General features: G+C 38.2%; 1 protein-coding gene across 16 annotated transcripts in view; it reads right to left on the bottom strand.

The window, feature by feature from the left end:
* The window catches only part of LIN9 (lin-9 DREAM MuvB core complex component), a 78619-nt gene that overhangs the window by 34694 nt on the left and 21752 nt on the right, over positions 1–22173 (bottom strand). For all 16 annotated transcript variants that reach the window (XM_017001084.2, XM_047418546.1, XM_024446565.2 and 13 more), the window contains 5 exons: positions 21822–21955; positions 20491–20616; positions 11933–12090; positions 2115–2248; positions 371–490 (listed from right to left, as the gene is read on the bottom strand). In XM_017001084.2, coding sequence (XP_016856573.2) covers positions 371–490; positions 2115–2248; positions 11933–12090; positions 20491–20616; positions 21822–21955 — 672 coding nt within the window. The remainder of the gene's footprint in view (positions 1–370; positions 491–2114; positions 2249–11932; positions 12091–20490; positions 20617–21821; positions 21956–22173) is intronic.

Here is a 22173-nt window from a genome sequence, read left to right on the forward strand (position 1 = left end):
TAATTTTTGTATTTTTAGCAGAGACGGCGTTTCACCATGTTGATCAGGTTGGTCTCGAACTCCTGACCTCGTGATCCGCCTGCCTCAGCCTCCCAAAGTGCTGGGATTACAGGCGTGAGCCACTGCGCCCGGCCAGGAAGTATCTTATTTTTAGAAAAAGAGAAAATTCTGTTATAATTAATATTATATTAAAATCCAATAAAAAGGAAATTATTTCTGGAGATGAAGCAACTATTTATTTTATTTAATATTTTCAATTCAAAATAGTGTGCATACTTTGAAGTTGCTGTAATAGATGTGTATTTCTTAAGAACATAGTTCACCTTCATAAAAATCAATTAAATTATTGATATTTCTAAAATATACTTACTATAATTGGTGACTGGAGAGGAGGAGTATAATGTAACCGTGGTGGGGTCATAAAAAATCGAGAAGGCCGCTGTTTTTGTCCAAAGGCAGCAATTGGCATTGTCTCATGAGGTTCATTACTCTGAGAAAACAGAATAATTCACAAAACTTAAAGAAATTTACCAATCATTTAAGCTTTATAATCATTGTATTTCAGCTTGAGATATATATTCACGCATATTCTATGATTCATATAGAATTTATTACTTATATATTTAATTATTTATAGAGTAGCATATTAGTCTATACAGATCAAAGGCTAGAACTTGAAACAGAGTATGAAAACACTACTTTGCTGCCAAAAGGATGAACCTCCAGAAGAAAAAAAGAAATAAAAAAAAAGGGGGGGGGTCAAAATAGTTCAGAGAATCAAAGATTAATATTAAAGTTTTCTATGGCCACATTTGGTTATCTGCATTTAGACTGTCTGAATATACCCTACAATTAAAAATCAACTCTTATTTAGCCAGGGAGAAATATTTGGGTGATCTCATAAAAACAGTTAAATTAATGAAACAGAGAAGCAATTTACTTTTTTTTTTTTTTGAGACCGAGTTTTACTCTTGTTGACCAAACTGGAGTGCAATGGCGCGATCTCGGATCACTGCAGCCTCCACCTCCTGGGTTCAAGCAATTCTCCTGCCTCAGCCTCCCAAGTAGCTGGGATTACAGACATGTGCTACCCCACCCAGCTAATTTTTGTATTTTTAGTAGAGATGGGGTTTCACCATGTTGGCCAGGCTGGTCTTGAACTCCTGACATCAGGTGATCCGCCCATCTCAGCCTCCCAAAGTGCTGGGATTATAGGTGTGAGCAACCGCGCCTGGCCAATTTACTTTTTTTGAAAGGAGAGTTTAAAGCTTTCATCCTTTAATGTAAAAACTTAAGAGCAGTGTACTCTGTTCTACATTTAGTTCTAATTTTCTTTCTCTCCTATTGCGGAGAGATATCAAGCAATATTGTATTTCTGCACTAAGGAGATATATATATATATATATATATATTTCTTTTAGGAAATATATTTACAAAGACATACATATATATGTGTGTGTATATATATTATGTATATATGTATGTATGTATGTATGTATGTATATTCTAGGCAGAGGTTGCAGTGAGCCGAGATCACACCACTGCACTCCAGCCTGGGCGACAGAGCAAGACTCCGTCTCAAAAAAAAAAAAAAAAAAAGATCTCAATTCTAGTCTCAGCCTAATAGGAAACCAGATCTAGAGCCTTGAATAAATTACGCAATTGTACTTATGTCTGAGTTTCATCATGCAAAAGTGAAGGTAATTAACACCCACCTTGCATGCCTCTGAAGATAAAACAGGAGAACAAATAAGTACAAGATGTTACTATACTTTAAAAACAATTTTGCAAGAGGACTATACTTTAACCTAACAGCTGCAATGAAAATGTTATGTAGCTTCTTCTCCAAGGTTATTTAGTCAGGACTCATCAGTTTGGTTATACTAAAGTGCTGTGTCGTTAAGGTCCAACAGAGAAATGCTAGTTCCTGGCAAATGGAAGACTTAAGTATAGATCCGAACCAGGGGTCTAGCAGATAGGGCTGGGGTCCCCTAAGGATCTCTTCCTCTGTGAGATAAAGTCTTGATTCTATCATAAAATACGATTTCTAAAAAAACTCTATATAACACATTTAACAGGCATAAAACACAAATGTATTATGAAATACTACTTACGAGAACTTCATAGTCAGGGATGGTATGGGTTCCAAGCCCTGTCCTATCAAAAGTTACTCTATAAGTAGCATTAAGAGTATCCACAGCATCTATTTGTCCAGTGAACAAACCATCATGAACACCACGTAATCGTGCTGAGAAAAGAACAAAGGCATTATGATGTGTGGGAGATACAAAGAATAGTCAAATATAAAACTGTTCCAAGCATGTAATTTAAATCATAGTACAGTATTTTGTCTATTAGAGTTTCAAAACAAGCACACACTTTATTTTTGGCTTAGAGAAACAACAAAGAATTTTTGAAACAAAAACAAAAACTATAAATGATGATCCCTAATTTCATATTTGAATAAAATTATATTACTCCCAAATTAAGAGAAAAATATTTTAAATCATTTAACTGCAAAAAAAACAACAAAAGAACTTTGGTCATTATACTCATGAGTGAAGCACCAGGAGTAGTTCAATTTAAAAAAAAAGACAAAGATGTTGTGTAGAAAATAATTAAAGAAGTTAATACTGCAGGCCTGATGCTGCTATACTTAGGAAAACCTCCTTGCAAGGTTGGCCTTTGTCTGGTATCTGGGAACTTGGATTTCGGAAGTGTTCCCACTGTTCCCTAATTAATAATGGTGGTTTTACTGTGTCTAGATTGTGCAAACGATGTGGTTAATGCTGGACACCTGCTTTCCCTCTGGAAGACTGGAATTTTAGTATGTACTAGGCAAAAGATGCCTACATACTCAGCCCCCAGTAGAACTCTGGTCACTGAGTCTCTAATGAGCTTCCCTGGTAGACAACACTTATAAGCATTGTGACAACTTGTTTCTGGGAGAATTAAAAGTCTTGCATGACTCTATTGGGAGAGGACTTTTGAAAACTTGCACGTGGTTTCCTCTGGACTTTGCCCCAAGCACCTTATTCTTTTGCCAATTTTGTTTTGTGTCCTTCACTGTAACAAATCTTACCCATGAGTACATGTGCTGAGTATTCTGAGTCTTTCTAGTGAATCACCAAAACTAGTAGTCTTGGAACTGATGACACAGATGAACTGTGTCACTATTATTTAAGTCCAGCCTAAAATAACATCAGAGAAATCCAAACAAACATCCAGCATGAGTAAAAAATTTAAGAACAACAGCATTGATGGCTGTAAACTGGGCAAAGTAATACATTTTATACTAACCAAAAAGTATAATACACAACATTTTAATAGAACACAGAAATACACAATGCAAGACTGTTTAAAATAAAAGGATCAATTGATAAAAACACAACTGTAGAGGACTAAAATCTCTCTCAGTTTCTGACAGATCCTTTAAGGGAAAAGTAAACATGGATACAGAAGATGTAAATAATGAAGCTGAGTAAACAAATATAAGCATAGAAAAGGACTACTAGTTATGGTGGCATGAAGAGGCTGGTAATTCCTCTCCACAAAAAACAAGTACAAACCTGAATGAGATTGTGAAAAACAACCATTCCAGGGTACTGGAAATGGATCAAATGTAGAAAACAAGAAACGTTTATTGTTGAAGAAGTGCTAGAGCTTCAGGTTAGGGCAGGGGGACTCAGTGGCCTCTTTGCACGAGGTTATTCACACACCCACTACTACCACCAACGTGGTCGATGAGAATGGTTTTATTAGTTCAGGGTTGGTCACGAAAACCAGCCAGAATTTTGACTGGTCATGAAAGACAGCCAGAAATTTAACAGGGAGATCATGGAAACTAGAGAGCCATAAAAGGGCGGAAATAAGCTCTCTACCATCCCTGGCTAACTGGGTTACTATGCAAATGGAGGGGGAAGATCCAATAGTCTGGCAAAAAGTAAAAGCTAAGGATGACTTGAAAACTAGCAGCAACTTTGTATTTACATTCCCCAACTCACATATAAATCAATGTGAGGCTTTTCCCGATCAAGATGTTTGAGCATAACCTCTGTTCAAATCATTAGGTGACCACTAAATTATTATTATTATTTTGAGATGGGAGTCTCGCTCCGTTGCCCAGGATGGAATGCAGTGGCACGATCTCGCTCACTGCAACCTCCACCTCCCGGGTTCAAGTGATTCTCCTGCCTCAGCCTCCTGAGTAGCTGGGATTACAAGTGCCCGCCACCACACCCGGCTAATTTTTTTTTGTATTTTTAGTAGAGACAGGGTGTCACATGCTGGCCAGGCTGGTCACAAACTCCTGACATCAGGTGATCCGCCCGCCTCAGACTCCCAAAGTGTTGGGATTACAGGCGTGAGCCACCGCACCCAGCCCTGACCACTAAATTATATGCAGACACAGGGGTAACTCTTTGGAAATCAAGTTTAATAATAATAATAAATATAAGAATAAAAAATGAAGCAGAGACATCAGTATTTGCATAGCCAAGTTATTAAAGCAAATCCAACAACTCTCCAAAAAATTAGAATACATAGTTGCTACAATATATTATCTGAAATATCAAGTTTTCCACCAAAAATTACTAGACATGTAAAGAAGTAGGAAAGCATGGCTCTTAAGAAAAGTACAGTAAGAAATTGAGAGAGATATTTAGCAAAGACTTAAAAAAGCAGCTGTTATAAATATGTTCAAAGAATTAAAGTAGGCTGGGCGTGGTGGCTCACTTTGGGAGGCCCAAGAGGGTGGATCGCTGGAGCTCAGGAGTTCAAGACCAGTCTGTGCAACATGGTGAAACCCCATCTCTACAAAAACATACAAAAAAATTAGCCAGGCATGGTGGCATGTGCCTGTAGTCCCTGGAGGCTGAGGTGGGAGGATTGCTTGAGCCCAAGAGGTAGAGAGGTAGAGACTGCAGTGAGCCAGGATAGTACCACTGCACTCCAGCCTGGAAGACAGAGCAAGACTCTGTCTCAAAAAAAAAAAAAAAAAAAAAAAAAAGGTTTGTGTATGTATGTACTTTTTTCCTATTCTCTTCATTTCTGTTTTTTGAAAAATTTATTTGATAAATAAAATCTTTTTTATTTCTTTTCCATTTACTCCTTTAGATAACCTACAGAAAATCCCAGATAACCTGGAATTATCGTTCATTTTACAAAGATTACTTTTAGGATAGTTCAGATTCTTATAATTTCTTAACAAATCAATGATTTTAATATCTTTTTTAACACTCTCATTTCTCCAGGGGTAAACAACTGTGGCTTAAGTATGACGTCTCAAACAACTTTCTATATACTGTAGCTAAAGTATCATGTCTAGACATTTTTCCAAACTTCTCTACTATTCAAATTTTCCATTACTTTGAATACGCAGTGCATCTGTCAAAACTCTTGTGCTTCTAACTCTGTATCTGACAATCACAAAGTCCAGTCACTTTTTACCTGCCAGATTCTTTGTTCCTACAGCAAAATCCCTAATAGAGTGACTTTTTAATTCTTTTGGCTCTTGTTTTTGAGGAAAAATCTACTACTCTTTGTTTACTAAAATATTTTCTAAAGAAGGAATATGTTTAATTAAATTCTATTGTGGTCAGAGAAATTCTCTATATGATTTCAATCTTTCAAAATGTATTGACATTTTTAATGGGCCAGTATATGGTATATGTCGATAAACAAGCCATTTGCCTATGTAAATAATATGTATTCTGCAGTTGAGTGTATTGTTCTAAACATATTATTTAGATCAAGATGACTGATAGTGTTGTTGAGATCCTCTATATGTGTATTAACATTTTTTGGCTTCTTCTACCTATTAATTACTGGAAGTGAGGTGTTAAAATCTACAACTATGATTGTGGATTTGTCTATTTCTTTCTTTAGTTATCTCAACTGTTGCTTTCAAGTATTTTGAAGCTTTATTGTTAGGTATATAGTAATATACATACATAATATTAGGATTGGTATATCTTTCTGAACTGGCCATTTTTATCATTATGAAATACTTCTGACAATACTGTCTTGATGCCTGTTTTTCTCTGATGTTAAAATAGCCACTTTAGCTTTCTTACAGTTACTATTTGCACTGCATATCTTTTTCATCTTTTTGCTTTCAACCTGTCTATGATTTTATATTTAAGTATAACTCTTGAAGACAGCATATAGATGAGTCTTACTTTTTTTTAATCCGTTCTCATTATCTTAACTTTTTTTTTTTTTTTTTGAGACAGAGTCTCACTGTTGCACAGACTAGAGTGCAGAGTACAGTGGGTGAGATCTTGGCTCGCTGCAACTTCTACCTCCCAGGTTCAAGTGATTCTCCTGCCTCAGCCTCCTGAGTAGCTGGGATTACAGGCACGTGCCACCATGCCTGGCTAGTTTTGTGTTTTTAGTGGAGACGGGGTTTCACCATGTTGGCCAGGCTGGTCTTGAACTCCTGACCTCAAGTGATCTGCCTGCCTCGGCCTGCCAAAGTGCTGGGATTACAGGCATGAGCCACCATGCCCAGCCAATCATTACTTTTTAATTGAAGTGGCTTTTTTTTTTTTTTTTGAGACAGAGTCTAGCTGTGTCACCCAAACTGGAGTGCAGTGGCATGATCATAGCTCACTGTAGCCTTGAACTCCTGTGCTCAAGCGATCGTCTCAGCGTCCTGAGTAGCTGGGACTACAGGTGCCCACTACCATGCTTGACCTTTTTTTTTTTTTTTTTTTTAATGTTTGTAGAGACAGGGTCTCACTATGGTGGGAAAAAGCTGAGTGTTAGGAAAAAAGCTGAGGCAGGGCTTGCATGTCTGACATAATGTCCCCTGGAATGTGTCTAGACTTGCTGGCTCCTTGCTTCTAGCCCTCCTAGGCTCCTAGATTGATTGTATTCCCATTATCTCAAGTAGCAGAACATGTTCTATATAAAGGCTAAGCCGTCACAGCTGTAGATCATGTGCCTGCCTTTTTGACCCCCACATTCTCACCACCTGTTTCTTTGTTGGATTACCAATAAACAGTGTAGGGTCCCAGAGCTTGGGGCCTTCACAGCCTCCACAATCGCGATGGGTCCCTGGTCCCACTTTCTTTCTCAAACTGTCTTTTTCTCAATCCTTTGATTCAGCTGGACATCATCACCCCCACGACCTGGTGTTGGGTCTGATCACCCCAACACACTATGTAGCCCAGGCTAGTCTCAAACTCCTGTGCTTAAGTGATCCTCGTGCCTTGGCCTCCCCCAAAGTGCTGGGATTAGAGGTGTGAGCCAGTGTGCTTGGCAGAAGTGTTTATAGTTCATTGGCATTTAATACAACAATAGGATGGCCAGACTTAAGTCTACCACCTTGCTATTTTCTATTTATCCCATTTGGGTTTTTTGTTGTTCCCTGTCCCTTCTTTCCTGCCATCTTTTTTTTTTAATTAGGTAATTTTTTTTTTTTTTTTTTTTTTGAGACAAGGTCTCACTCTGTCCAGGCTGGAGTGCTGTGGTATAATCACTGCTCACTGCAGTTGAGACTAAGGTAATCCTCCCATCTCAGCCTTCCAAGGAACTGGAACTACAGGAGCACAACACACCTGACCAATTTTTGTATTTTTTGTAGAAACAGTGTTTCACCATGTTGCCAGGCTGGTCTCAAACTCCTGGGCTCAGGTGAGTGGCTTGCCTCAGCCTCCCAAAGTGCTGGGATGATAGGCATGAGCCACTGTACCTGGCCAAATTCAATATTTAAAAAATCAAATTCTCTTTTGACTTTTTAACTATACCTCTTTGCATTTGTTTTCTTCTTCTTCTTTTTTTTAAAAAGGCAGTTCCCAAACCAGCAGCATTACTTTGAAACTTGTCAGACATGCAAATTCCCAGGCCCTATCCCAGACCTTCTGAATCAGAAACTCAGAGGTAGAGCCCAGCAATATGTTTTATCAAGCCCTCCAGGTGATTCTGATGCATACTAAAGTTTTTGAGCCACAATGGGCTAGGAACTACAATGCTCCCTCTCAACATTACTTTTTTTTTTTTTTTTTCTTTGAGACGGAGTCTCACTCTGTCACCCAGGCTGGAGTGCAGTGGCGCAATCTCGGCTCACTGCAACCTCCGCCTCCTGGGTTCAAGTGATTCTCATGCCTCAGCCTCCCAAGTAGCTAGGATTACAGGCGTACATCACTATTCCCAGCTAATTTTTGTATTTTTAGTAGAGACAGGGTTTCACCATGTTGGTCAGGCTGCAACTCCTGGCCTCAAGTGATCCACTTGCCTTGGCCTCCCAAAATGCTGGGATTACAGGCATGACCCACTACGCCTGGCCTTAACATTACTTTCTACTAAATTAATACTGTGTGTTCTTACATAAAATTTAAGAACTTGGCAACACAATAATTTCATTTTATTCATTTATTCATTTCTGGTGCTCTATGGTCCTTTCCGTAGATTCCAGTTTACATAAGATATCATGTAATGTAAAAAAGTTCCTTTCAGTCTGAAGAACTTTTTTGGCATTACTTCTAGCATTTTTTCTGATATGAAGTTGGCTGCCATCCATATCAGTGCTCCTCTTACATAATATGCTGTTTTTCTGTGACTGCTTTTAAGAGTTTCTCTGAAGATTTTCTGTATTGTGTCTAATGATGGGTTTTGTGTATATGTGGGTATCCTGCTTGGGGTTCAGAGTATCTTAGATCTATATTTTTGGAAAAATTTCAGCTTTTGTTTCATCTAATATTTTTTATGTGCATCGGCACATAAAATAATGTCCCCTCTCTCCTGTTTTTACGGGGACTACAATTACACATATGTTATCTTGCTTAATATTGTCTCAGAGGGATCTGAGGGTCTATTTTTTTTTTTCATTTTTTTCCTACCTGTTTTCATACTTGGATAATTTCTACTGATAACATTCTCAAGTTCACCGACCCAGTCTTTTAGTGTTTCCAATTTGCTTTTAAGTTCATTCAGAAGTTTTTCTTTTCAAATATTATACTTTTCAGTTCTAAATTCATTTTCTTTATCTGAAAAAATGTCCATTTATTCACTCAGATTTTCTCTGTTCATTATATTTATATTTACATTTAAGTTCACGAACATGTCTTATGATAGCTATTTTGAAGTCACTGTCTGCTAATCCCAACATCTGAGTCATCTCAGAGTCTATCTCTATTGATGGCTTTTTTATTGACTTATGGAATAGTCTTTTTTTCCCCACAAGTACAGCAATTTTTTTATTGTATGCTACACAGGGTGTTGAATTTTTTTCTTGTAGACAAAAAAAATTACTGGCAGATCTTTTCGATCCCATCACACTTGCTTTTATATTTTGTAGGGGCTGGTCTGTTTCAGTTATGAACTTATTTAGAGCATGTTTACTCCTTAAGGAGGCCCTGTGAACTTGATATAATTTCCATAAGTCACAACATATCATTATTCTTTTGATTTTTTTCAACCACTTACAAATATAAAAAGTATTCTTAGCTCACAAACTATGCATAAATAGGTGGCAGCCTAGATTTGGCCTATAGGCCGTAAGTTTGCTGACCCCTGCACTAGCCCAAAGAGAAAATGTAAAACATTGCTTTAAAAAAGCTCTAGGCTAGGCTGGGTGCGGTGGCTCACACCTGTAATCCCAGCACTTTGGGAGGCCGAGGCGGGTGGATTATGAGGTCAGGAGTTCGAGACCAGCCTGACCAATATGGTGAAACCCCGTCTCTACTAAAAATACAAAATATGTCGGGTGTGGTGGCGTGCACCTGCAGTCCCAGCTACTCGGGAGGCTGATGCAGGAGAATCGCTTGAACCTGGGAGGCAGAGGCTGCAGTGAGCCGAGACTGAGGCACTGCACTCCAGCCTGGCAACAGAGCAAGACTCCGTCTCAGAAAAAAAAAAAAAAAAAAAGAAAAAAAGAAAAAATAGCTCTAGGCTGGGTGCAGCGGCTCACGCCTGTAATCCCAACACTTTGGGAGGCCGAGGTGGACAGAAGATCACTTGAGGTTGGGAGTTTGAGACCAACCAGCCTGGCCAACTTGGTGGAATCTCATCTCTACTAAAAAAATTACAAAAATTAGCCAGGCGTGGTGGCGGGTGCCGGTAATCCCAGTTACTCAGGAAGCTGAGGCAGGAGAATTGCTTGAACCCTGGAGGTGGAGGTTGTAGTGAGCCGAGATCACACCACTGCACTCCAGCCTGGGCAACAGAGCAAGACTTTGTCTCAAAAAACAAAAACAAAAATAAAAAACACAACACACAAAACAGCTCTAGTAATTTTCTCACATTTTGCTATAGCCTGTCTAACCTATTCTCCACTGTAACAAGAGTACTTACATAAAAACACTACCTAAGATTTTCAGTCTTGTCAAATAATATCACCAGTTCTTAAAATTCTAAAACAATGAATTTCTAAGGATTTCCTAATGAGTCTGAGAGTCACTCTTCACGTCAGCATTTCTCTGGCATAAATCAGTATGTCAGCATTAGTACTTATACTAGACTTTATTGCTGTAGTTATTTATATGGAGTTTTTACAACTAAACATTTTTCAAATATGCTGTCTACCCATCTCATCCCATTTCCACCTCTACTTCCAGACTAGTTTTAAGACAGAGATCATATCATCTATAATCTGTTGATTACACAGTGAGTTGTCAATATACACTCATTTATTACCAAATCTAGTCTCTCCTAGATAAACTGTGTTTGCATTTCATATGCATGATTCAGTCTCTTCTCTATTTTCTACCTTTCATCTTAATCGTTTTTACAATATAATGGAAACAAGTACCACTTTTATAGCCAGGAAAAATGATATAAATATGTAACTCCAGGTTCCCTTCCCTCCAAAAACTATTCTCGAATTACTCCAACCATTTTTCAATGGTTGAAGTACAATTACTCAGTACAATTACTAGCCTATTCTATCCACTTAACTCCTTATTTCTTGTATTACATATATTGTAATTTGCCTTCACCAAGTAATTAAGGATTAACTTAAACCTGAGATTTTGCACTTTCTCTCCATGAGTACACAGAATCACATCTATAAAACGGACAAAATTTACACCCCTATAAAATGTTGAGCAGACTAGTGAATAATTTAGTTTTATTCAATCATTAGAAATGGACTATTTCTAGACCCAAAGTCCACGAGAACAATGGTATTTGTGAACTAACCAGACAAGGCTAGTTAGGAAAGGAAAACAAACAATGTAGAAGGAAAATATAGAATAATTAAAAATAAAAAAAATTTACGGCCAGGTGTGGTGATTCATGCCTGTAATCCCGCACTTTGGGAAACTGAGGCAGGAGGATTGCTTGAGCCCGGGAGGTCGAGGCCACAGTGAGCCAAGATCCAGCCTAGGTGCACTCCAGCCTAGGTGACAGAGGGAGACTCAGTCTCAAAAAGAAAAAAAAAAAAAAAAAAAACTTTAAAATAATACATAGCTATACTTACTCCAATAGATTATTAAATTTCATCTTTGTAGCAGTTGGCTTTAGTTTATATTGTAGTAGATGTTACTTTGAACCAATACACTTTTTCCCAATTACTTTAAAAAATAGATTTCATGCATGAAGAAAGAGTAACTTCTATAGTAAATTGCACAGAGCTACAGTTTAAGCTTTCTAAATTTAAAAGCCATTTCTCGAATAGAGATTATCTGGGTTATTTACACCTTCAGAATTTTGTCCCATGTGTACGTGTAAACACATTCTAGTGAAAAATCAAAGTCACTAAGGAAAAAAAATATCAAGTGATGTGTACTACAGAACCCCTACTCCATCCCTGAGCATCAACCAGGCTCAGAGAGAGTTGAGGGATAGGGATAGGGTGAGGGTTAACGATGTCTATTGTAAATATTTCTTGGTAATTAAAAATGAAATAAAATAAGAACCAAAGAAACAAAAAAGATTACCTTGATTAAAAATTACAAGTCAAAAGAGTAATTAGCTTGTTTTCACTTACCTGTAACTTTCGTTCCAATAACCAGAGGCAAAGGAATTTCATCTGGGAGATCTTTGAATTGTGAAACATCTGCAACTTTCCTTTGTTGTAAGAGCCTTATTTTCTGCCGTTTCTGTTTTAATGCTGATCTCTCTTCCTCAAAAAATGCAGAAGAACATCTAGAATAAATTATAAAAAACATACAAACTGATAACTACCCCATATAAAAACTTAAAATCTTTTTTTTTTCTTTTTTTGAGATAGAGTCTGGCTCTGTCATCCAGGCTGGAGTGCAGTGGCACAATCTTGGCTCACTGCAACCTCCATCTCCGGCTCAAGCGATTCTGGGCTCCACCTCCTGGACTCAAGTGCTGAGATTAAAAACTTAAAATCAGCCGGACGTGGTGGCTCACGCCTGTTATCCCAGCACTTTGGGAGGCTGAGGCGGACAGATCAATTGAGGTCAGGAGTTAGAGACCAGCCTGGCCAACATGGCCAAACCACGTCTCTACTAAAACTACAAAAATTAGCCAGGCGTGGTGGCAGGCGCCTGTAATCCCAGCTACTCAGGGGGCTGAGGCAGGAGAATCGCTTGAATCTGGGAGGCGGAGGTTGCAGTGAGCTGAGATTGCGCCACTGCACTCCAGCCTGGGCGACAAGAGTGAGACTCCATCTTAAAAAAAACAAAAACAAAAACAAAAAAACCTTAAAATCTATTCATCTCACCACTCCTTTTTTTCTTCTCATTAAGTATACTGTATTCAAAAATAGGTTCTTAGATTGTTTCTGGCCGGGCGTGGTGGCTCATGCCTGTAATCCTAGCAGTATGGGAGGCCACGGCGGGTGGATGACCTGAGGTCAGGAGTTCGAGACTAACCTGGCCAACATGGCAAAATCCCGTCTGTACTAAAAATGCAAAAATTAGACAGGCGTGGTGGCAGGCGCCTATAATCCCAGCTACTCAGGAGGCTGAGGCAGGGGAATCGCTTGAACCCAGAGGGCAGAGGCTGCAGTGGGCCAAGATTGAGCCACTTCACTCCAGCCTGGGTGACAGAGTAAAACTCCGTCTCAAAAAAAAAAAAGAAAGGCCGGGCGCGGTGGCTCACGCCTGTAATCCCAGCACTTTGGGAGGCCGAGGCGGGTAGATATCGAGGTCAGGAAATCCAGACCATCCTGGCTAACATGGTGAAACCCCGTCTCTACTAAAAAAAAAAAAAAAACCAAAAAACAAACAAACAAACAAAAAAACCACAAAAAATTAGCAGGGCATGGCGGCGGGTGCCTGTAGTCCCTGGTACTTGGGAGGCTGAGGCAGGAGAATGGCGTGAACCCGGGAGGCTGAGCTTGCAGTGAGCCAAGATCGTGCCACTGCGCTCCAGCCTGGGCAACAGAGCGAGACTCCGTCTTGGGGGAAAAAAAAATTGTTTCTTTTTGGCCAAGCATGGTGGCTCATGTTTTAATCCTGGCACTTTGTAGTCCGAGGTGGAAGAATTGCTTGAGCCCAGGAGTCTGAGACCAGCCTGGGCAACATAGTGAGACTTTGTTTCTGCTAAAAATAAAAAAATTAGCTAGGCATAATGGTGTGCATCCAGCTACTTGGGAGGCTGAGGCCGGAGGATCATTTGAGCCCAGGAAGTTGAGGCTGCAATGAGCTAAGCTGTGATTGTACCACTGCACTCCAGCCTGCACAACAGAGGGAGACTGTTCCCCACCCACCCAAAAAAAAGAGCTGGGCAAAGTGGCTCATACTTGTAATCTCAGCACTTTGGGAGGCTGAGGCGGATGGACTGCCTGAGCTCAGGAGTTTGAGACCAGCCTGGGCAACATGGTGAAACCTCATTTCTGCCAAAAATACAAAAAAAAAAAAAAAAAAAAGCTGGGTGTGGCGGAATGAGCCTGTAGTCCCAGCTAGTCGGGAGGCTGAGGCGGGAGGATTGTTTGAGCCTGGGAGACAGAAGTTGTAGTGAGCCGAGATTGCACCACTCCAGCCTGGGCAACAGAGCAAGACCCAGTCTGAAAAAAAAAAAAAAAAAAGGAAGGAAAGAAAAAGGAACTGTTTCTTTTCACAGTAAATTACCTTTCATTTTTTAAAAAACAGGACCTTCCAAGACTCAAAGATTTTGCAGGTTATTCCTTCCTACAAAGCAAAATAATTTTTTCACCATCCTTTGATGAAATTGTGCCTGGAATCTAGATCTCATAGGGACCAAGTTCCATTTCAATATTCTACCCAAAAGAACATGATATTTTCTCTGTGACCCAGTAAACACACCAATATAGCAGTTAAAGATGAGACTTCCTACTATGTAAACTTTTAATCATAATTTTTGCCTTAAAAGTATAAATGCTGAATTCCCTCTTATTTCTAGAGCCTATCTTCCTTCCGTTTTCAAATCCCAGGATGAAGCAAAGTATTTAAACATCACTTTCATGCCATGTTATGGCTTTCACTTTCAAAGGTACATTATGAGCTCTATTGTCATTTGTCTCAAAAACTAAATAAAAACAATGAGAAAAAAGGATATAAAGACCAGCACTGTATAAAGTGAATTGTTGTAAGCAATGATGAATAAGGACTGGAAATACACAGAAAGAGCTTAGCTGATAATAATGATTTTTTTGTATGATTTCTGAACTTGTTGAATATTGATTCAAGCAGTATATATGGGAAGAATATGAGAAGATAAAGCAAAGGATAATGAGTTACTAGTAAGCTAAGTAGTACTATAAAAACAGACTTGCGGCCGGGCGCAGTGGCTCACACCTGTAATCCCAGCACTTTGGGAGGCCGAGGTGGGCGGATCATGAGGTCAGGAGATCGAGACCATCCTGGCCAATATGGTGAAACCCATCTCTACCAAAAACACAAAAATTAGCTAGGCGTGGCAGTGTGTGCCTGTAATCCCAGCTACTTGAGAGGCTGAGGCAGGAGAGTCGCTTGAACCTGGGAGACAGAGATTGCAGTGAGCCGAAATCACACCACTGCACTCCAGCCTGGCAACAGAGCGAGACTCCATCTCAAAAACAAACACATAAACAAAAAAAACCAGACTTGCTTCTGGTGTAAACAACATCTTTTAGAAATCTTCCTGGTATATAACCATTATGGAAATTAGTATGGAGGTTCCTCAAAAAACTAAAAATCCAGCAATCCCATGGTTAGGTGTATATTCAAAAAAAGGAAATCAGTATATCAAAGAGATATCTGTACTCCCATGTTTATTGTAGCACTATTTACAATAGCCAAGATATGGAATCACCCTAAGCGTCCATCAACAGATGAATGGAATTTTAAAATATGGTATATATGCACAATGGAATCTTATTCAGCCACAAAATATAATGAAATCCTGTCATTTGCAGCAACATAGATGATATTGGAAGTCATTATGCTAAGTGTAATAAGCCAGGCACAGAAAAACAAGTATAAGATGTTCTCATTCATACATGGAAACTAAAAATGTGGATCTCATGGAGGTAGAAATTATTAATAGAATGGTGGTTACCAGAGGCTGGGAAGGGAAAAGGGAGGGGAGGATGAAGATAAGTTAGCTAAGGGGTACAAAAATATAGTGAGATAGATTAGCTAAGGGGTACAAAAATATAGTGAGATAGAAGGAATAAGTTCTAGTATTTGACAGTACGGTAGGAAAATTATAGTTAATAATTTATTGACTATTTTTTGTTTTTACTTTGTTTTTTATTGACTATTTCCACATAATTAGAAGAGAAAAATTATAATGTTCCCAACACAAAGAAAAATGTTTGAGGTAATGGATATCCCAATTACCCTGATTTGATCATTACACACTGTACACATGTACTCCCAAAATATGTACAACTATTATATATCAATTTAAAAAATATACCAAAAAAAGTCTTCTTGACATAAGAACCCAGGACCCATACTATTTCCCTATAGTTGACAATTTTTTTTTCTTTTTCTTTTTTTTTTTTTGATTTGGAGTCTCGCTCTGTTGCCCAGGCTGGAGTGCAGTGGTGTGATCTCGGCTCACTGCAACCTCCACTACCCAGGCTCAAGCAATTCTCCTGCCTCAGCCCCCTGAGTAGCTGGGACTACAGGTATGTGCCACCACGCCCAGCTAATTTTTGTGTTTTTAGTAGAGACGGGGTTTCACCATATTGGCCAGGCTGCTCTCGAACTCCTGACCTCATGATTCACCTGCCCTGGCCTCCCAAAGTGCTGGGATTATAGTGTTAACCACCGGCGCCCAGCCATTATACTTTTCTTACAGATCCTTTGTTGACACCTTAGACATATACAATCAAAAAATGCATATGTTCCTCTATTTTTCTCAAATAGCTACAGTATGCACTGTTGTGTATTTTGCTTTCTTTTCTTGACACAGCATAGCAATCATTTCCATATTAGTACATAGAAACCATCTTCTGTTTTTGTTTTATGTTAAATGGTTTCAGGGTTTTCTATTATATGGAGTGCCATACTATAATCATTCCCCCATTTATGGACTTTTAGGCTGTTGCCAATCTTTTACTACTACAAACAATACTGCAATAAATACCTTTGTACATGTAATTTCATCTGTGTGCAAGTAGCTCTGTGTTGTACATTCTTGAAAGTGCTACATCAAGGCAATGGAAATTTGTAAATTTTATAGATATTACCAAATTGTCCTCCACAGAGATTATATAAAATTAGTCTCTCACCAGTAATATGTATGAGTGACTAACCATGCCATTACTAACCCAACACATTAAAACCTTTATGAACTCTGCCCATCTGATAGTTAAAAGCAGTATCTCGGCCGGGCGCGGTGGCTCACGCCTGTGATCCCAGCACTTTGGGAGGCCGAGGCGGGCAGATCACCTGAGGTCAGGAGTTCAAGACCAGCCTGGCCAACAGGGTGAAACTCCGTCTCTACTAAAAATACAAAAATTAGCCAGGCGTGGTGGCAGGCGCCTGTAATCCCAGCTACTCAGGAGCCTGAGGCAGGAGAATCACTTGAACCTGGGAGGCAGAGGTTGCAGTGAGCCAAGATCGTGCCACTGCACCCCAGCCTGGGCAACAGAGTGAGACTCTGTCTCAAAAAACAAAAAACAAAAAACAAAAAAAACTGTATCTCAGCAAACTTTGATTTTGCATTTCCCATTATGAGTAAAATGGAATTTTTTTCATGTTTACAAGAGCCATTTCTTTTTCCTTTCCTATCAATTACCTGTTGTTGTTCTTGCTTTTAAACAGACAGGGTCTCCCTTTGTTGCCCACGCTGGAGTGCAAGGGGGCAATCACAGCTCACTGCAGTCTCAAGTCCTGGGTTCAAGTGATCCTCCCACCTTGGTCTTGTGAGTAGCTAGGATCACAGTCATGTGTCACCCAACTGGCTAAGTTTATTTTATTTACTTATTTTTGAGGCAGGGTCTTGTTCTGTTGCCCAGGCTTGAGTGCAGTGGCGTGAGCATGGCTCACTGCAGCCTCAACATCCAGAGCTCAAGCGATACTCCCACCTCAGCCTCCTGAGTAGCATGCCTGGGTAATTTTTGAATTTTTTTTTTTTTTTTTTTTTTTTTTTGGTGGAGATGGGGTCTCACCATGGTGCCCAGGCTGGTCTTGAGTTCCTGAGCTCAAGTGATCTTCCTGCCTGAGCCTCCCAAAGTGCTGGGATTACAGGTGTGAGCCACCACACCCAGCCTGAATCATCTACTTATAATCATTTTTATTATGCGTTACCTGACATTTTCTTATTGATAGGAGTTCTTTATATAGTAGGGAATTAGCTCTCTGTAATAAGATGTGATGGATATTTCTGTACTATCTTTCAACTCTGTTTACAGGCTTTTGTTTTTGGCCATGTAAAACGTTCTTATTTTTGTATAGCCAAATTTATTAATGTTTTCTTTTATGGCTCCTAGGTTTGAAGCCTGCTTTTCCAGGCCAGGCATGGTAGCTCATACCCATAATCTCAGCACTCTGGGAGGCCGGGGCAGGCGGATTGCCTGAGGTCAGATGTTTGAGACCAGTCTGACCAACATGGTGAAACCCCGTCTCTACTAAAAATACAAAAGTTAGCCAGGCATGGTGGCGGGCGCCTGTAGTCCCAGCTACTCTACTCAGGAGGCTGAGGTAGGAGCTTAGGAGGCAGAGGTTGCAGTGAGCCGAGATTGTGCAACCACACGTCAGCCTGGGTGACAGAGCAAGACTCCCATCTCAAAAAAAAAAGAGAGAGAGAGAGAAAGGCCTTTTCCAATTCAAGATTAAGTAAAACTCTCTTATGTTTTCCTCTTGTGGTTTTATTCTTTCATTTAAAAAAATATTTAAATCTTCAATCCTTTTCAAATATTTCCTAGTTGTAAGGCATGAGAACAACTTGTTTTTTTCTATAGACTACTAAACAGTAGTCTCGGTTTCCATTAAACAAACAATCCACCCTCTTCTTCACCATGTACTTGAGAGTCAACCATTGCAACTATTATACTAAACTCCCAGAGACATCTGTGACTGTATCTGGATTTTCTTTTCTTTTTCATTCATTTTTCTATTTATGCACCACTACCACTCTGCTTTAATTATGATCACTTTATAATCTATTTTAAAGTGCTCTTTAAAGTGGAATCTCTCTTCATTACTTTGCTTTTTCAGAATTTTCCTGCTTGATTTCTCCCCTCTTATATGTGAATTTTAGAATTAACTCATCTAATTAAAAAAAGAGGCCAGGTGTAGTGGCTCACACCTGTAATCCTAGCACTTTGGGAGGCTGAGGTGGGTGGATCACCTGAGGTCAGGAGTTCAAAACCAGCCTGGCCAACATGGCAAAACCTTGTCTCTACTAAAAATACAAAAATTAGCTGGGCATGGTGGCGAGCACCTATAATCCCAGCTACTCAGGAGGCTGAGGCAGGAGAATCACTTGAACCCAGAAGGCAGAGGCTGCAGTAAGCCGAGATCACGCCACTGCACTCCAGCCTGGGTGACAGAGCAAGACTCTGTCTCAACAAAACAACAAAAAAGGCCTGTTAATATTTTTATTGGGACTGATTTTAACTTATAGACTAATTTAGGATGTTGAGTCTTCTTTTCCAAGATCCTGTATGTCTTAATGTTTCTTCATATGTATCTTGCATATTTCCTCTTAGGTTCTTTCCTGGTAGTTTATCTTCCTTTGTTTCTTCCTTTTTATCTTCCAAGTGGATGGAGTTTCACCAATTGATTTTTAAAATTAAGATATTTTAAGGTTTATTGTATCAATAATTTGTATTATACCTGGACTTCCTCAAAGAAAGAAAAACTACACATTTTATTGAAAAAAGACTTCAACTATTAATTAACCTTGATGAATTAAAGGACTATAAGATTAAATAATGTTATGGTAAGAGAATAGAAGATCAATTAACGAGAAATATTATGACACTCAAACTACAGAACTATGACAAAACAGTAAATAGTGACCAATATCCCACTCTGATGGACAATAATTAGAAACAGTGTAACTCAATTTGCTCAAACACGCAAAATGATAGCAAAAAGTCACCAAATGGCTACTGTAATTACCAAAGGCCATAAATTATGAGTATGAAACACACTAAATAACATATCAAATTTTAATTTTGTTATTATAAGAAATATTAAAAACATCATCATCAAGGTCATCTTGATGACAGTTTAATTAAAAGTTCTCTCTGTATTTCATCACCATCTAAAGAAATCATTAAATCTAAATTCCATTTCTATTTGTCCAAATCACTTTATATTTACAGACCTTCCTTGAACTTTCCCACCATTTAAAATGAAAAAGTCTTGCACATACTTTTTACCAGGCAGATAGACATAATGTGAGAACTAATGATCTAATTATTCTTCTAACATATTTCCAATTTTCACTCAAAAGTAATATAAGGTTTTCCAATGTGTTACCAGGATAACACTGGAAAAGAAAAAATCATTTCACATGAAGAGCAATTCTCAGGAAGTAACATATTAGATAGATTAATTTGTTTTCTACTTTTATATAAAATAAAATAGGCACTTCTGGGAAGGCTCCTGAGATTATAAAGGATTTCACAAAAGATAACAAAAATGTACACAGAACTTTACAGCATCCTTAAATACTTTTTAGGACATTCTTAAATATTTTTTGGAACACAGAGGGACATAGATAATGTAAAACTAAAAAATTACGTTGAAAACCTGTGATCCTAACAAAAATGAAATTGTGCATTTAATTATAAGATGCATACGTATAAACAGCACCTACATTAAAGTTGGTTAACAGGATATATTTAACATATAATCAATTATTCTGAAAAGTTATGTTTTGGTACTAGTCATTTTAAAGATTAAAAAAATCAATGTACTAATGATACTAACAACTATTATTTATTGATTTTATTTTTTAATTCTTTTTTAGAGGAATGGTCTCACTGTGTTGCCCAGGCTAGAGTGCAGTGACTATTCACAGGTGTAATCACAGCATACTACAGCCCTGAACCCCTGGCCTTAAGCAAATACCCCATCTTAGCCTTCCAAGTAACTGGGATTATAAGTACATGCACTGCTACTGGCTTGATTTTATTTTAAACAAAAACAAAAACATTATTTTTACCTCCGTGGTTTTCCCATAAGCCGCCGAATTTTTCCCCATTCTACTCTTGTTAACTTTCTTGTTTTCAAATTAGGAAAAGATTCCTTTAGACATACACAGAAGTCATTATCACCTTCAAAAAGTGGTCTGTAAAACAGATATAGTATTTTAATGGTTACATACAATGTGTTACTTTCTTAAAACACATAAAATCACAAAATGCTAAACTTTCACTTCTACCCCATATATATATATAAACTGGCACAAATTCAAAGTGCTAAAACTAAATCCTTGGCATTTGTGAAACATCTAATGTCGTGTAAAAGTTGCTCAGGAAATATTATTTGTGTTGTGATTCCAAGAGACACTGATTTTTGTTCAATCTCTTATACAGGTATATCCTTTGGGAGGCTATCGTGGCCCTGGCCTTGTATCAGGTGAAGATAAACCAAGTTAGCTACAAAGTATCTTTGTCCCAAAGGAATACCATCACCAAGGAGTCCTCTTTGGAATTAAACCAGTCTTGGGACACTGGAGGACTCCAGAGGGTTAGATTAGCTTGGGGGATCCCAGAAGAACTCAGATTACACTGAGACACCCTGAAAACTCTCTTAAGCCTATGGACAAAAATAAAACAATTCTATTCATGAGTCTGGGAAACCAGGAACCAGTGTTGGCAATGATACATAAATGCCTTGGGCTCAAATATGAACATTCATGAGATTCACAAGCTCCAGAGTAGGCAATTGGTATAGAAAACAGAGAAGGGAAGAAAATATAAATATCCAGCAGAGCAAGCAGCAATGACTGGCATATGAGGAAGGATTATAAATAAGAACTTTTCCTCAGTAAATTCCATTGTTGAATAATTGTATTTCAGCCAAATCTCATACTACGTCATACTTAAGCATATGTGTATACCTAGCGTGCTTAAGTACCACATCCAAACTAGAAAGACTACCCTCTTAAAAATCTTAAGCCATTTTTACCATTAGTAATGGTTTCTCTATGATTATACCAGCACTTAACATCTCAATTATAAAATGAATCTCATTCACTGCAAATAATGGTGTTTTAAGGTATCTCTACTCCATAGTCTTTAAGAATTCTAACACAGAAATTATACCGTAATCAATTCTTCACAAAAATGTACAGTTTTCTTCCCCAAAAAGGATAACAGGGAAGAAAACTATGACAAATAGAATAGATCCAACTGGAATGTGGAACAGAAAAATGAATTTAGAGAAAAATAAGATCAAAGTAGACCTATAGAAAATGTTGTAGCTTAAAACACTTGAAAAACTTAAATTTCTGATTCAAGTAATATTCATAATATAAGCCATGATACATACTTATCTATATTTGAATAGAACCACTCGTATATACACCATTTATGTGCTTTAGGAAGCTTGAGCAGATTACGTAATCGAAAACCAATCTTCTGTGAAGCTTTCTTATCTGGTGTTGACATTGTTGCTGTAAATTTCTATACAATAAAAAAAAGAGATTAATTTATGGCTCCATTAAGTAAAAATGAACATTTATAACCCTGAATAAATTTGCAAAAGGTAAATTATGTTTAAGTACTTAAAAAGGTTCACTGATTCACTGATATTCAACATGGAATTTTGTTGCTGTTTTAAACACTCCGATTATTTTTGATTATTGCCTTTTTTTTTTTTGACAGTCTTGCTCTGTTGCCCA

This window comes from Homo sapiens, chromosome 1 (genome assembly GCF_000001405.40).
Source record: "Homo sapiens chromosome 1, GRCh38.p14 Primary Assembly".
NCBI classification, from domain to species: domain Eukaryota; kingdom Metazoa; phylum Chordata; class Mammalia; order Primates; family Hominidae; genus Homo; species Homo sapiens.